We start from the raw sequence: 16,347 nt of genomic DNA on the forward strand, positions 1-16,347 counted from the left end.
CTGGGCGACAGAGCAAGGCTCTGTCTCAAAAAAAAAAAAAAAAATATATATATATATATATACTGCAACCCATCATTTTGAAAACACTATCCAAGAAAGTAATGGTTGTTTTTTGTTTGTTTGTTTTTTTGAGATGGAGTTTCACTCGTGTTGCCTAGGCTGGAGTACAATGGTGTGATCTTAGCTCACTGCAACCTCCACCTCCCAAGTTCAAGCAATTCTGCCTCAGCCTCCTGAGTAGCTGGGATTACAGACTCCCACCACCATGCCCGGCTAATTTTTGTATTTTTAGTAGAGATGGGGTTTCACTGTGTTGGGCAGGCTGGTCTCAAACTCCTGACCTCAGGTAATCCACCCACCTAGACCTCCCAAAATGCTGGAATTACAGGCGTGAGCCACCATGCCCGGCCATGGTTGGTTTTTTTGAGACCACTTTATATTTAGGCCAAATAGGTATGTGTGTGATGGGGGTGGAGAGGATGACAAGTAGAATGAAGGAGTGATGTTTCACTTTGCCAGACTTTAAATTAATTACATTGCATGGAGCTCTATTATGCAATACTCTCTCCATACTGCTGAAAAAAATAATCTGCAACTTACAATTTGATCCTTGAGTTACCAACCAGTAACACTTGTTCTTTACACCCTTTCTCATTCCCTAAGTCATTAGAAAGCACCAGTTCTAACTCCAAATGATGACATGGTCTTATTTTATCTATTAACCATAAGCTTACAGATTCTAGTGAAGAAAAAACTTTAGGAGGCTACATGGTCTATTGGAGAGTGTAGGCTCTGCAGTCAGAAGATCCCTACCCAGGCTTCTGTCTTTCTCAGTAAGACTTGGGACCACAGCAAGGTCCGCAATCTCCTGAGGCTCTGTTTTCTATGGTTGGGATAACATGGTAAGTTATTTTCTTCTAAGTAGTCACACATGGAAATCTTATCTAAAATTTTATACCATTAACTTTTATTTCACTTATTAACTCATACCATTAATACTTTACTTTAGCTATGTTTGGTATGCATGAGTTAATGAGTGATTAGAGTACTATGAGCAGCACAGGTTTAGAAATGCCTATTTGCCTATAGTGCAGCCTCTTACATAGGCAAAATAAAAGTCAAGTAAGAATTTTATTTTATTTTTTTAAAATGCAAAGTAAAATGTGTCTTTAAAACTCTCCCAGGAGGTGAAGGGAAGCTACCATAACACCAGGTGGGAAGGAAGACATACTGGGCTTGGCTCATGCTTTAATTAGCTACTGTGTAAAAATGTTCAGGGATTTTCAGTTATCCGCTGGCACCCAGAGGCAATGGGTAAGGTTAACTGGAGCTAGAGCCAATATTTTTTTCTTCCTAGAAGGAGTAACAGCAGCAAACAGTAGGAGAGAAGATGCCAAGTTAGAAGTGCATATAGCTCTCTTCCACAGGAGGCCTACATGCCGCCACTTGTGCTGCCGCCATGTCTCTAGTGATCCCTGAAAAGTCCCAGCATATTTTGCCGAGTAGTCAACACCAACATTGATGGGTGGCGGAAAATGGCCTTTGCCATCACTGCCGTTAAGGGTGTGGGCCGAAGATATGCTCATGTGGTGTTGAGGAAAGCAGACACTGACCTCACCAAGAGGGCGGGAGAACTCACTGAGGATGAGGTGGAACATGTGATCACCATTATGCAGAATCCACACTAGTACAAGATGCCAGCCTGGTTCTTGAACAGACAGAAGGATGTAAAGGATGGAAAATATAGCCAGGTCCTAGCCAATGGTCTGGACAACAAGCTCTGTGAAGACCTGGAGCGACTGAAAAAGATTCGGGCCCGTAGAGGGCTGCGTCACTTCTGGGGCCTTCGTGTCCGAGGCCAGCACACCAAGACCACAGGCTGCCGTGGCCGCATCGTGGGTGTGTCTAAGAAGAAGTAAGTCTGTAGGCCTTGTCTGTTAATAAATAGTTTATATACCAAAAAAAAAAAAAAAAAAAAGTGCATATAAAGTCAGCTTTCCTAGGCCCTGAATCAAGAAACGTGATGGTTTGCCATTGTAGCTATTGGTTTCAAACAAGAGCCAAGATTGATGTCTTTCTTATGGTCTGTTGGCTAATCCCAGTATGAATGGCCAGTTCAGCTAGAAGAAACAAACAGTCTTGAAAAAAATAGAAAAAGCAAAGAAAAAAAAGACAGCTTTCCAAGCTAAGTAACATTTGTGGTCAGTGAAATAATAATAGAAATCTAGTAATGCTAAAGTAAAACAAATTTTCAGCTTAAAAATATTGCCTTTATTCAGAATCATAAGGGTTTTTTTAAAAAAATCTTACCATTATGAAAGTTAAAAAAAATATAGCACTCAGTACAATGAATTACTGCATTTAATATTCAAACACTTAAGGCACATTTCTCACAGTTTACATGTGAGAATTTAGCATGATCCAAACTCAAATATCCATTTCTCGTATCTTTCAATGTCTGCAGCAGACACTGACTTAGAAACCTTTTTTAAAGCCATCTCGAAATCCTCCATAGTTGTAGGCATGTGCATTTCTTCTTTGGAAAGATTTCGGATTTCCTCTGGAGTCAAACCTTCAATGCGCCTTCTCATTGCCATCAAGGACGCATCCCTAGGTTTTAAGTTAAAAACAACAACAACACACACAATGTTACTTTGGTTAAATGAAAACCTGTTAATAGAAAAATTTTCAATTGATCTGTTGTAGCATTCTCTAATTATATTACATATATATGTAGTATTGTATAGAAACTTATTGGAATACAAAGCCTGTTGTGATTGATTTTTAAGCAGTTAAATCTTCTGTAATGAAAAAGGATGCTAATTTAAATAATTAATACTGAATATAAAATCCCAGAAAAAGTAAAAGTGGGGTTAAAGCTAGCAATTTGAATTTCATTATAACTATTCAATAAAATGAAGAATAAGCATCACAGAGTCAGAAGAGAAGAGAAACTGTTAACAAGAAAATTAAATATTTTCTCCATGTAGAGGAAAAGCTAGGTAAGTTCAGGGTTTCTCCTTTTCTCATTTGTGTTAAAAAAAAAAAACAAAACTTCAGATTCAAACAGCTCTTGCCTTTTACCAAGTTTTATCCTTAATAGCAGCCACCATTTATGCAAAGGGATAGCAATAGAGCTGTTTGATGTATACACTTTAGCTTTAATCCTCAGAACCCTGTGTGGTATGCTCACTTTAGAAAGGAGGAAACGAGCGCAGTCAAGCCCCTGGTTAATTAAGTGTCTCTACTAATACTTAGATTAGGACAAAACCTACTTGAACCAGCTGGATTAAAGACATTCTTTTTTTCTTTTTACTGCTATTCTGTCACATTTAGGATAAGTTCACTGAGAATGAGACTGTATTCTGTGCATATGCCAAGTCAATATATTTCACAGTCATTTCGTATTTTATAATATAGTGAACAAAGGCACCAACAATTTATTTAATCCAAGACAATTACTGATTTTCTATTTTACACAATTTATCCTAACATTAGCTTCTTGAACTTGTAGCTTTCAAATGAACTGTAGACTCTTCACTGACATGAAAGATACCAGATATCTTACCAGCACCTGCTAACACCAACAAAACCAGAATTTGTGACCCTGACTACAAAATGTATGTGGGGCCGGGCATGGTGGCTCACGCCTGTAATCTTAGCATTTTGGGAGGCTGAGGCAGGCGGATCACTTGAGGTCAGGAGTTCGACACCAGCCTGGTCAACATGGTGAAACACCGTCTCTACTAAAAATACAAAAATTAGCCAGGTGTGGTGGTGCATGCCTGTAATCCCAGCTACTCGGGAGGCTGAGGCACAAGAATCACTTGAACCCAGGAGGCAAAGGTTGCAGTGAGCCGAGATCGGACCACTGCACTTCAGCCTGGGTGACAGAGCGAGACTCCGTCTCAAAAAACAAAACAAAACTGGAATGTGGGTCTTTATTCATCTTTTTTTTTTTTCTTTGGACACAGGGTCTTGCTTTGTCGCCCAGGCTGGGGTGCAGTGGCACAATCATGGCTCACTGCAGCCTCAAACTCCTGGGCTCAAGCGATCCTCCTGCCTCAGCTTCCTGAGCAGGTGGGAACCACCATGCCCGGCTAATTTTTAAAATTTTTTTCATGGATATGAGGTCTTGCAATGTTACCCAGGCCAGTCAAACTCCTGGGCTCAAGTGATCTCCCACTTGGCCTCCCAAAGTGCTGAGATTACAGGCGTGAGCCACCACCAAGATATTGATCTGTCTTAATTCAGCATAAAAACTTCACGTCAGAGGATCACTTGAGCCCAGGAGTTTCAGGCTGCAGTAAGCTGTGACTGCGCCTCTACTCTCCAGTCTAGGCAACAGAGCGAGACTGTGTCTCAAAAAACAAAACCAAAAAACTTCATACTAGAAGTTTATGCTTACAAAAACCTATGCTTCCATGATAATTCATACCTGCACACGTTGGTAATGTCCGCACCTGAATAACCTTCCATGTTTTCTGCTATACTTGCAAGGTCAACATCATCAGCCAATTCCAACTCACGTAGACTTATTCGTAATAGCTCCTCCCTGCCTTTTGCTAATGGTAGAAACAAATTTTAAAATGTAAGCCTGCAGCATAAACATAGTATACTATTGTCTCAAATCTTCTTTGTGTGAGATGTTGTCTTCCAGTAAGAATTGGATCTCTAAGAAGAGATAATTAAGTAAAGAGCCATTCTTTACTTTTTAATTCCTTACTATTTAGTATTAAGGCATATAGCCAAACTAGTACTGTAAAGGAAGATACTCCTCATGTATCTCTTCCAGAAAGTTAGTTAATAACAAATTTTAAATTCTCTAAACAAAACTACATGAAAGTTAACAGGCTTTCTGACAAGATTGAAAGGAAGATACCTGACGGCAAAGGAATATAGATTCGTTTCTCAAGGCGTCGTCTTAAAGCCTCATCTATATCCCAGGGAAAATTAGTAGCTGCCAGAACCATAACCATTTTGGAAGGGTCATCATTTTCAGAAGTACCTCCAACACCTAAAATAAGGGTAAGGGGAGAGTGAAAAAGATATTAAGTTGGATTATACCAAATGAAGCTCAGCTATTTAAAGATCAACAACTATTTAGTACAACAATACAAGGAAGCACAGTCTTAATGCCTCCTTAAGACTTAGGTTAACTGGTACCTATGTGAATTTGTAATCCAAAGAAAATGAGTTCTGTAGTATGCAAATATATGACTCAAAATAGATTTAATCGAAAAGCCAGATCTCAAATACATAACAATTTTAAATCTTTTTCAAAGCGTACATAAACTCTAAGGCCAATTTATCTGCATTTATTTTTATTTCAATTTCATAGCTAAAGTAAGATAGTTGTATATACCAAAAGGGTGCCCTGTGTGTGGCCATTAATTCTGACTTGTCACCACTGTCAGTGTACCAAATCTATTACTATCACTATCAGGAACTTCTTGCCACCCCCTCTAGTCCATCTGAAGTTAAGAATACCTATTAAAAGCTTGGGTTAGCACTATGAGTAAAGTTTGACCCACTGGAACTGGAGACACCACACCTAACAACCTCCCGTCCCTGTTCAACTCAAGCTAAACACAGATACCATCCATCTGAACCAGCAGCTCCGCTTTCACCCTTCTGCTTGCTTCATGTTCTTCAGAAGTCCCTCGGCGACTACAGATGGAGTCTATCTCATCAATAAATATGGTGGCTGGAGAATAAAATCGAGCCTAAAGGAAGAAACCATGCAATATCAAGCTATTAAGCTATTATTTCATTTTAAAATAATCTACAGATTAGCAATCAGAAAATAGCTGAGGGAGGCTGGGCACAGTGGCTCACACCTGTAATCCCAACACTGGGAGGGTGAGGCAGGAGGATGGATTGAGCCCAAGAGTTCGAGACCAGCCTGGGCAACATAGCAAGACTCCATCTCTACAGAAAATTAAAATATTAGTTGAGTGTGGTTACACGTGTCTGAGTCCCAGCTACTCAGGAGGCTAGGTGAGAGGATCCCTTGAGCCCAGGAGTTCAAGGCTGCAGTGAGCTATGATCACACCACACCACTGTATTCCAGACTGGGTGACAGAGTGAGAACCTGTCTCTAAAACAAGAGGAAAGAAAGAAAACAACAAAACAGCTAAGGAGCCTGCCACACTGTGCATCTTTCTCTCACGCTAATACTGGGGAGATGGGATAGAATTAGAACAGCTAAAATATGGCTTCTAATGAACCGTTTTTTATTTATTTATTTTTTTTTAAGAGGCAAGGTCTTGCTCTGTCATCCAGGCTGGAGTGCAGTGATATGATTTTGGCTCACTTCAACCTTGAGCTCCTGGGCTCAAGCAATCCTCTCACCTCAACCTCCCGAGTAGCTAGGACTACAGGTGTGTGCCACCACACCAGGCTTATTTTTATATTTTTGGTAGAGATGGTGTCTTATTATGTTGCCTAGGCTGGTCTCAAACTCCTAGACTCAAGCAATCTTCCTGCCTCGGCCTCCCAAAATGCTAGGATTACAATGAGCCACTGTACCTAGTGGGATAATTTCATCTTTAAAGAGAGTCAATACTTGGGTCTTTATGTATAAATATTTTTGTACTTTTTCAACAAATGGAGAGAGGGAAAGAGTGAACTTCATCATCATTAAAACATCCAAGAAAATTCTCAACTAAAATTTTAGGAAGCATCTATCAAAAGCACCTACATCAACAAAAATTAAACTTCAGTCTGTTGCCACACCAAGCAAAAGTGACTAGACTGATTCTTCCCACATACTGAGGTTATGTAGAATGATCTGACTTCAAGGAAAGGCTATGTGTCCTGGGTTTAGCTGGCCCAGGAAGGTACGGTAGAGGACACCAATTGGTTCTCCCTGCACAGCACACTTCTGGTAAGAGAAGCCTCTTTTTCATTTGCAAATCATCCCTTTCTTTCTTTCCTCCCCTCTCCCCTCTCCCCTCTCCCTCTCTCTGTAACCTCTGCCACCCCGGTTCAAGCAATTCTCCTGCCTCAGCCTCCCAAGTAGCTGGGATTACAGGTGCACGCCACCACACCTGGCTAATTTTTGTATTTTTAGTAGAGACGGGGTTTCATCATGTTGGCCAGGCTGGTCTCGAACTCCTGACCTCAAGTGATCTGCCCGCCTCAACCTCCCAAAGTGCGGGGATTACAGGCATGAGCCACCATGCCGGGCCCCTCTCATTCCTATTCCACTACTTCAAAAGAGGCTAACTTTACTTGGAACTCCAGGGGTTTTATTCAGACCTGGCCAATCAGAGCACTCCAATTCTCTGACCAAAAACAAGGAGTTTCGGCATAGGTATGAAACTCAAAACAGGCCAAATATTAATCTTTGGACTTTTGCTGGAACTATGACAAAATGAGGGCTAACTTTGCTGAGAGTTCATTACCCTAAGGACAATAAAAATAAGGCTTGAAAGCTGAGTGCAGTGGTACACGACTGAAGTCCCAGCTACTTGGGATGCTGAGAGAGGAGGATGCAGTATGCTATGATTGTGCCTGTGAATAACCACTGCACTACAACCTGTGCAATATAGTGAGAGCTTATCTTAAAAAAAAAAAAAAAAAAAAAAAAAAGCTGAACACAATGGCTCTTGCCTGTAATCCCGGCACTTTATGGGGTCTAGGCAAGAGGAGTGTTAGGCCAGGAGTTCTAGACTGCCTGGGCAACGTAGTGAGACTTCATCTCTACAAAAAAATCAAAAAAGGCCAGGCGCAGTGGCTCATACCTATAATCCTAACACTTTGGGAGGCCAAGGTGGGCAGATCACCTGAGGTCAGGAGTTCAAGACCAGCCTGGTCAACATGGCAAAACCTCATCTCTACTAAAAATACAAAAATTAGCCAGGCATGGTAGTGCACTTGTGTAGTCCCAGCTACTCAGGAGGCTAAGGTGGGAGGATCGCTTGAGGCTAGGAGGTGAAGGCTGCTGTGAGCCGAGATTGCAACACTGCACTCCAGCCTAGGTGACAGAATGAGACCCTGTCAAAAAAAATAGAATTCATGTCTTGACCAGGATTGGTGACCCATGCCTATAAATCTAGCACTTTGGGAGTCTGAAGCAAGAGGATCACTTGAACCCAGGAGTTCAAGATCAGCCTGGGCAACACAGCAAGACCCCATCTGTAAAAAAAAAAAAAAAAAAAAAATGAGCTGAGTGTGGTGGCTCATGTCCATCATCCCAGCTGCTTGGGAGGCTTAGATGGGAAGAGCACTTGGGCCTGGGAGGTCACGGATGCAGCGAGTTGTGATCATGCTCCTGCATACCAGCCTAGGCAAGACTGAGAACCCATTTCAAAAAAAAGAAGATTCACGTCTTTGTCACTAATAGCATAACTCTATCCTAATTACATAAAACTACTCTGTTTCTTAGAGGCAAGAGTGACGTAATCAGTGAAGCTTAACAAAGTCTGAAGTTTAAAAGGCTGTGGAATTCAATCTAAACACTCTACCAGAACTTGTTGAATTACATTTCTTCTATTGGTACTCTGATTTGTATTGGTGGAAGAAAGAACCTAATCCAAAGATTAGGTCATTAAAATGAAGGCATTTGGTGCAGTTAATAGATCGGAGGTGACCTAAGTTCCACAATAAATTATGATTCTCACCTTTTGGCATCATTGTTACAATACTGTGGTTATCATATTATAACTAAACCTATTGATTTAAAAAACATAATTTCAGATTCCTACAGAAGATTAGTAATGCAGATCCCATAATGTGAGCATGCCCCAAAACTGGTAGATTTGGATCTACATCTGGAGAAAAAGAGACAAAGAGAAACTCTAATTATTCATGTTTGTAAAGAAATCTAGCTTTAAGGGCATAGGACTCATACTCTGGGCAAAATGGCATCCTGCCTAACTATTCCATATACTGGAGATAGTTACAGCTCACTTTCTCCCCTTTTAGAGAGGTAAAGAATCATTAGAGCTGTCTCAAACATTCACCATTTCAAACAGAAGACGAACAAGCTTCTCAGATTCTCCTCTGTATTTGGAAGTCAAAGTTGATGAAGAGACATTGAAGAATGTTGTCTTGCATTCTGTAGCTACTGCTTTAGCAAGGAGCGTCTTCCCCGTGCCAGGTGGGCCGACCATCAGTACTCCCTGTTGCGAATATAATAGCCTCAGCAGAGGATTTATCTGCCATTGTTCTAATTCATAAAAGTGTCATTACTAAGTAGCAAATTTCGACCAACTTATATATAATATCAAGACAAATAAAAGACAAACAGATAAACAGGAGGATACTTTGTCACAAATTTACTCTTCCCGTTAAAAAAGAAGATAACCACATTATGAAAAATTTGGAACTCAAAGATGAGAAAAAGTAGTTTATAATATCAGCACCCTAACAGAGGTACCATTAGCATCTGGATTTATATCCTGATTGTCCTTTTGCTCAGACAAATTAGGTTGTTTAAAAATATAACTTATTCGGCCAGCCATGGTGGCTCACACCTGTAATCCCAGCACTTTGAGAGGCCGAGGCAGGCAGATCACGAGGTCAGGAGATTGGGACCATCCTGGCCAACATGGTGAAGCCCCGTTTCTACTAAAATACAAAAAAAGTTAGCTGGGCGTGGTGGTACATGCCTGTAATCCCAGCTACTCGGGAGGCTGAGGCAGCGGAATCAATTCAACCCGTTAGGCGGAGATTGCAGTGAGGCAAGATCGCACTGCACTCCAGCCTGGCGACAGAGCGAGACTCCATCTCAAAACAAAACAAACAAAATACATATATATATATAATTTATTCAAAGTATATCTATCATTTTGTATCTTGCTTATCACTTAATGTATAAAGGATTTTTACAACTATTCATACATGCAGAGTTACCTATCAGTGTGTTTTCCAAATCCAAGAAAAGCTTTTTTGATGGTCTTTTTTTAGATCAGCCCATGACTTTAAAAAGTATTTATCACATGCAGATATTTCTCATTAATTTATTGAGAACAATCCCCAAAATACAGGTTACAATCATGCAACATGACATATAAAATGGAGTGTTTTTGCATTAGCTGACTAGGTCATATTTGCAAATATGAGCTCATTCTAAATGGGGTGAATTCTAATTTTTTTTTTTTTTTTTGAGACAGAGTTTCGCTCTTGTTGCCCAGGCTGGAGTGCAATGGCGTGATCTCAGCTCACCACAACCTCCACCTCCCAGGTTCAGGCAATTCTCCTGCCTCAGCCTCCCGGATAGCTGGGATTACAGGCACGCACAACCACGCCCGGCTAGTTTTGTATTTTTAGTAGAGACGGGGTTTCTCCATGTTGGTCAGGCTGGTCTCGAACTCCTGACCTCAGGTGATCCGCCCGCCTCGGCCTCCTAAAGTGCTGGGATTACAGGCGTGAGCCACCACGCCCGGCCAAATTCTAAATTTTAATGCTGTGTATTCAACTTTCCAAAGATCACATTGTATGTATTTCTTATTCTAGGAATCATGCAACAGCTTCTGGTCTAACAAAATTCTCAGTAGCACAACATATACCTTTTAATTTAAACATTTCCTGACTCCACTTTCTCCCTCCACTTTTCCCAATATAGATAAATATTGGCTCTCTGTATCAACATGCTGCCATTTACTTTGACAATGCCATCACAGTAATAAACTTACTTTCCATGGTCTCCTAATGCCCTTAAAGAATTCGGGCATCCACATTGGTAACACTACGGCTTCCTTAAGCAACTTTTTAGCTTCTACTAAATCAGCGATATCATCCCTGAAAGAGAAGACATTTTATTAACAACCCTTTAGATGATACATGTCTATGCAGTCACTCTTGAGAACCACTGGAAGCACATGATGTTGCACTGCTGACAGAATGGTGAGCCTCTCTCTGAGCCCGGGTGAACTAATGCACTGTGATGAGGCCCACCATGTCAACCAGCAGATATATAAAGAGCACAACCTTTTCTTCAGTTATTGGCGGTTGACAGTTTTTAGCCTGGATCACGAGAACATAGTCTACAGGCACACTCTTCAGGGTTATGTGTCAACTCATTTTAAACTCCTGCTCTTATGGTCCTCATTCCATAATCTCCATGATTTAGAAACAATGAGCCCATGTATTTTAAAACTAAAAAAAAGCATAAAGAATAAAAATCGTATAAAGCAGAGACAGGCTACAACATAGCTGCTTTGCCTCCAGCTTTACTAAGAGGTAGATGCCAAGGTTAAAGAGTATCACAGAGATTACTATAAAGTCATCTCCAACCACTAGAATACCTACTACTACTGCTACATGTGGCAATTTCTGTTAAAAAAAGTATTTTCATTGTATAAAATATTAATGTCCCCAATATTTTTTAATATCATTCAAACCCATACCTAATAATCATTAAGGTTTTAACAGAAATATAAAATACCTAACTTTGTGGAAAAGTTAACTTTTATAACTCATTGTAATACATTACAGATCTTTGATTACATGTAATATTAATCAAGTTGAGAACCACTGCTCTAAAAGAAAATAAAAGCAACATTTCTAGGATGCTATAGATAATAAGCAACACACATACATACAAATCATTGCCTTGGCCAGGTGCAAAGGCTCATGACTGTAATCCTAGCACTTTGGGAGGCTGAGGCAGGAGGATCACTTGAACCCAGGAGCTCAAGACCAGCCTGATCAAGACTCCATCTCTACAAAACATTTTTTAAAATTAGCTAGATGTGGTGGTGTGCACCTGTGGTCCTAGCTACTTGGAAAGCTGTGGCAGGAGGATCACTTGAGTCTAGGAGTTTGAGCCTGCAGTGAGCTATGATCGAGCCACTGTCCTCCAGCCTGGGCAATAAAGTGAGACCCTGTCTCTAAAAAACAAAAACAAAAACCTCAGACTCTCAGACAAAAATTGGAATAGGCTGAATGCAGGGAAGTCATGCTCACGCTGCACATACTCCGGTTCTGTCCTCAAGCTCTGCTCTTCAGTACATGCTCACATTTGCTCCATTTTCCATTCCGAATAGCATCACCAGCACCCAATTATTTGGTTGTGATATAACTTACCATCGAACATTGGGATTCTGGGAAATTATATCTCTTTCCAAAGCTTCTACTAAGTCTTTATCATATCCGGTACTATCAAATTTATTTGTCTCTGGTTCTGTTACTGCAGCAGGTGATTTGTTCTACATGAAGAGAAAAAAACAAGCGCTTTTGATTCATTTATTTTGTTTCTGTGAGTCGGAAACACAGATTGGACTCAAGTGACGTCCTTTAAAAAGCTAATACATCATTTGGCCAGGCGCAGTGGCTCACACCTGTAATCCCAGCACTTTGGGAGGCCAAGATGGGTGGATCACGAGGTCAGGAAATCGAGACCATCCTGGCTAACAGGGTGAAACCCCATCTCTACTAAAAATACAAAAAATTAGCCAGGCATGGTGGCGGCACCTGTAGTCCCAGCTACTCGGGAGGCTGAGGCAGGAGAACAGTGTGAACCCGGGAGGCAGAGCTTGCAGTGAGCCAAGATCATGCTACTGCACTCCAGCCTGGGTGACAGACCGAGACACCAACTCAAAAAAAAAAAAGGCTAATAATAATAATACAATAACAAGGATAGGACCAAAGACTCTAAGTCATCCTTCTACATCAACATTGGTTTGATACATCAAAAGTATCAAAGAAAAATAAAAATGACCATGCAAATGAACTGGCTAGCATAAAAAAATTAATACTGAGATAAATGTGGTCGCAAGTGAATATCAGATATACACAAAATGTATTTCAATCCTTTAGAGGAGATAAGATTAAAGACAGATGGCTTATTTAGCCAAGACTATGGCTCAATCTTTAAACACCTACTTGTCCCTCATCAATGCTCCTAAAAATATCCCTTTTCATTATTCCCACTACCCTCCAAAAGACACATCTCAGTCCTTACATGGGATTCCTCTCATCCTCTGTGATGACAGTCATTAGGGCCACGGTTCCCAAACTATGTACTCAATACCCAGGACACAATGGCAAACTCACGAGGTATTGTGGGATAGTTTAAATTTTTGAAAGAAACACAGCAACATCTGTTGAACACTGTGTGAACTACTAGCTAGAGGTAGTTCACGATTCCTACATAAGACTGCTATACTCCTCTTCAATAATGCTTTATTTATTTATTTATTTATTTATTTTTGAGCTAGAGTCTCACTCTGTCGCCCAGGCTAGAGTGTAGTAGTGTGATCTTGGCTCATTGCAACCTCCACCTCCTGGGTTCAAGCAATTCTCCTGTCTCAGCCTTCTGAGTAGGATGACAGGTGTGCACCACCACGCCCGGCTAATTATTTTTAGTGGAGATGGGGTTTCAGCACGTTGGCCATGCTAGTCTTGAACTGCTGACCTCAAGTGATCCGCCCACCTCGGCCTCCCAAAGTGCTGGGATTACAGGTGTGAGCCACTGTGTCCGGCCTGAATAATACCATATTTTTGTGAAGCTGGGTTTTGGGCAGTTGCTGTGATAAGATGTACAGAGAGAAAATCAATGTGGAAGAGGAATGAGGGTAGAATGTCCGTTCTGACTGCAGGGTTTGAGAAACTGTGTAACAGGGCCCAATAGGTGTTAAACTGCTAGAACATAAACTGTTTGAACCTAACTTCTTCATAAATGGATAGGTATTTTTCATAAGTGGATGGGTATCCTGGCCTAGAGATGCTATATAAAAATTACTAAGATACTTATGAATATTATAGGCCAAGAAAATTTATGAAGCCCTGCATTAGGGTAAATAAACATTTTTTCTGCCGTACTAAGATTGTTACCCAATTCCCATAACATTTTTTTTGCACGTAACATGATGATTCCTTTGCCAACTGGTGCTGTCTAATGCCATTATTAATGTCCAGACTTAACCAATATTTATGATATTCAAAATGTTAACCTAGATGGCCAAATAAGCATCAGTTCCACAATGTGTGTATTGAGCCTCCAATATTAGCATAAAAGATTCAAGGAAGGAACTGTGTAACTTTTTTTTTTTTTTTTTTTGAGATGGAGTTTCATTCTTGTTGCCCAGGCTGGAGTGCAGTGGCACGATCTTGGCTCACTGCAACCTCTGCTTCCCCGGTTCAAGCAATTCTCCTGCCTCAGCCTTCCGAGTAGCTGGGATTACAGACATGTACCACCATGCCTGGCTAACTTTTTATATTTTTAGTAGAGATGGGGTTTCACCATGTCAGCTAGGCTGGTCTTGAACTCCTGACCTCAGGTGATTTGCCCACCTCAGCCTCCCAAAGTGCTGGGATTACAGGGGTGAGCCACCACACCCAGCCAGAACTGTGTAACATTTAAAAGAGAAGAAGATAATCTTTTCTTCAAAGTATTTATAAAGTTGTTACTCATTTACAGATATTTAACAAGTATCTGTTCTGTGTTAGCAGCTATGGAGAACAGGAAAAGGACACTGTACCTGACTATCAGGAACATATACTGTAAGCCAGGGAAGATACAAATATAAGGCATTTTCTCTTTCTCTTTCTTTTCTCCCATAGAACACAGTACTAAGGGAATGTTCGCAGACAAAGCAAAACAAATTTAAGTAGGCAGAAGAAAGAAACAGTGTTGTAATAGGACAGCCAAAGAAAGCTGTGGAACTTCAAATGCTGACATATTTAATAGGATTTTACTTAATTAGTTGAAGTAGTACAATTTCTTTTAGATATACATCTATCTAATAATTTGCTCCTGGCCAGGTGCAGTGGCTCATGCCTATAATTCTAGCACTTAGGCTGAGGGGGGTGGATCAGTTGAGGCCAGGAGTTCGAGATCAGGCTGGCCAACATGGTGAAACCCCCTCTCTACTAAAAATACAAAAATATTAGCTGGGCATAGTGGTACATGCCTGTAGTCCCAGCTACTCAAGAGGCTGAGAGGAGAATCGCTTGAACCCAGGAGGCGGAGGTTACACTGAGCTGAGATTGCACTACTGCAGTCCAGCCTGGGCAACAGAACAAGACTCCATCTCAAATAAAAACAAACAATAACTTGTTCTAAGTGAAAACAGTAACCAGTAGGAAGTGGAAAAAAACAGTTGAGGGATTCAAAGGGACCTAGACTCCTTTTTTCATGCTCAAAATAAAGTTTCAGATAGACGGATTAATCAGGACATAAGTCCTTGGGTTTAAAACTAGTTCTTTTGCTGGGCTCAGTGGCTCACGCCTGTAATCCCAGCACTTTGGGAGGCAGAGGCAGGCAGATCACCTTAGGTCAGTAGTTCGAGACCAGCCTGGCCAACATGATGAAACCCCGTCTCTACTAACAATACAAAAATTAGCCAGGTGTGATGGTTCACACCTGTAATCCCAGCTGCTCGGGAGGCTGAGGCAGGAGAATCGCTTGAACCTGGGAGGCAGAAGCTGCAGTAAGCCAAGATCAGGCCACTGCACTCCAGCCTGGGCGACAGAGTGAGACTCCGTCTCAAAAAAACAAAAACAAAAACTAGTTCTTTTAAAGCTGGCAAAATTATAAATACAAAACCCATTACCTCAATTAAAAGAGTTAATTAAAAATGACAGCTGGGTTCTCATTTCCAGGAAGATGGAGCATACTTTTCAGCATTTCTTCTGCTAAACAGAGCTAAAACCCTTGGGTATTATACATACCACAAACACAGGAGGACTCTGAAAGGTGCAAAGAAGCCAGCAGAGCCACTAAGGAACTCAAACATGGTGTGAGTTCCCTGGGTTTTCTTTCTTTCAAATATCCAAACTTGGGGCTGAAGAGCCGGCAACCTGGATACGCCAATTTGAACAAACAAAAACACCCCAACAGAAGCTTGCTCTTTCTAGGCAAAGGACCAAGGAAGGGGCAGTCTAGCAAGACAGAGCTTTTAGACAGTAACACTCTACTCCAGTCAAGCACCACCAAAGACTTGTGGCCCCGGCCCCACCCAGGGCAGCAAAGGCAGGGTGGAAGGCCTAGGACTTTCTACTTCTGGAAGCCTACAGTGAGTTACCTCAAACCCCCACCAGGGTAGAATCAGAGGCTAAATAAGAAGCTGAAACTTTCATTCCCAAAAATGAAATGAACAAGAGCCCCTGCATGTTCTCTCCCCCACCCCTCCCCGCCACAGTCACTGGACATCATAGAGGGAACCTAGACTTCCACTCCCCAACCACAGTGTCCCTGGAGAGCGTGTGGAGAACTTCCACCGCAGCTCAGCAGTAATGAGAAGGCCTCTGCCCCTAGGCAGGTGCCGACAGAGGCTGGCTGGGGAACCTGAACTTCCATCCCCACCTGGCAGCGGTGGCACCCCAATCTCTCTGCCAGAGCAATGTTAGGAAAAATCAGCTAAACAGAAGGTTTAAATAAGATCTAGAGTCTCA

At 41.3% G+C, this 16,347-nt stretch overlaps 1 protein-coding gene, 1 non-coding gene and 1 pseudogene across 8 annotated transcripts in view; 2 read left to right on the top strand and 1 right to left on the bottom strand.

Annotated features, from left to right (window-relative positions):
- The first annotated feature begins 991 nt into the window (after nucleotides 1–991).
- Nucleotides 992–1,978, top strand: RPS18P9 (ribosomal protein S18 pseudogene 9; annotated as a pseudogene). The gene has a single exon (NR_077247.1). The product of NR_077247.1 is annotated as a ribosomal protein S18 pseudogene 9 (transcript).
- Nucleotides 1,979–2,000: 22 nt separating this feature from the next.
- Nucleotides 2,001–2,135, top strand: LOC124901526 (small nucleolar RNA SNORA2/SNORA34 family). Its single transcript, XR_007059950.1, has one exon. It is a non-coding gene; the product is annotated as a small nucleolar RNA SNORA2/SNORA34 family (small nucleolar RNA).
- A 113-nt stretch (nucleotides 2,136–2,248) lies between these two features.
- Nucleotides 2,249–16,347, bottom strand: part of KATNA1 (katanin catalytic subunit A1) — a 54,118-nt gene continuing 40,019 nt past the window's right edge. For 4 of the 6 annotated variants that reach the window (XM_005266804.3, NM_007044.4, XM_017010207.3 and 1 more), the window contains 7 exons: nucleotides 12,037–12,158; nucleotides 10,644–10,749; nucleotides 8,970–9,128; nucleotides 5,600–5,726; nucleotides 4,883–5,017; nucleotides 4,439–4,565; nucleotides 2,249–2,610 (listed from right to left, as the gene is read on the bottom strand). In XM_005266804.3, coding sequence (XP_005266861.1) covers nucleotides 2,412–2,610; nucleotides 4,439–4,565; nucleotides 4,883–5,017; nucleotides 5,600–5,726; nucleotides 8,970–9,128; nucleotides 10,644–10,749; nucleotides 12,037–12,158 — 975 coding nt within the window. In that variant the 3' untranslated portion in view covers nucleotides 2,249–2,411. The remainder of the gene's footprint in view (nucleotides 2,611–4,438; nucleotides 4,566–4,882; nucleotides 5,018–5,599; nucleotides 5,727–8,969; nucleotides 9,129–10,643; nucleotides 10,750–12,036; nucleotides 12,159–16,347) is intronic. The other 2 variants (XM_047418111.1, NM_001204076.2) reach the window with 2 other exon arrangements.

This window comes from Homo sapiens, chromosome 6, assembly GCF_000001405.40.
Source record: "Homo sapiens chromosome 6, GRCh38.p14 Primary Assembly".
NCBI lineage: Eukaryota > Metazoa > Chordata > Mammalia > Primates > Hominidae > Homo > Homo sapiens.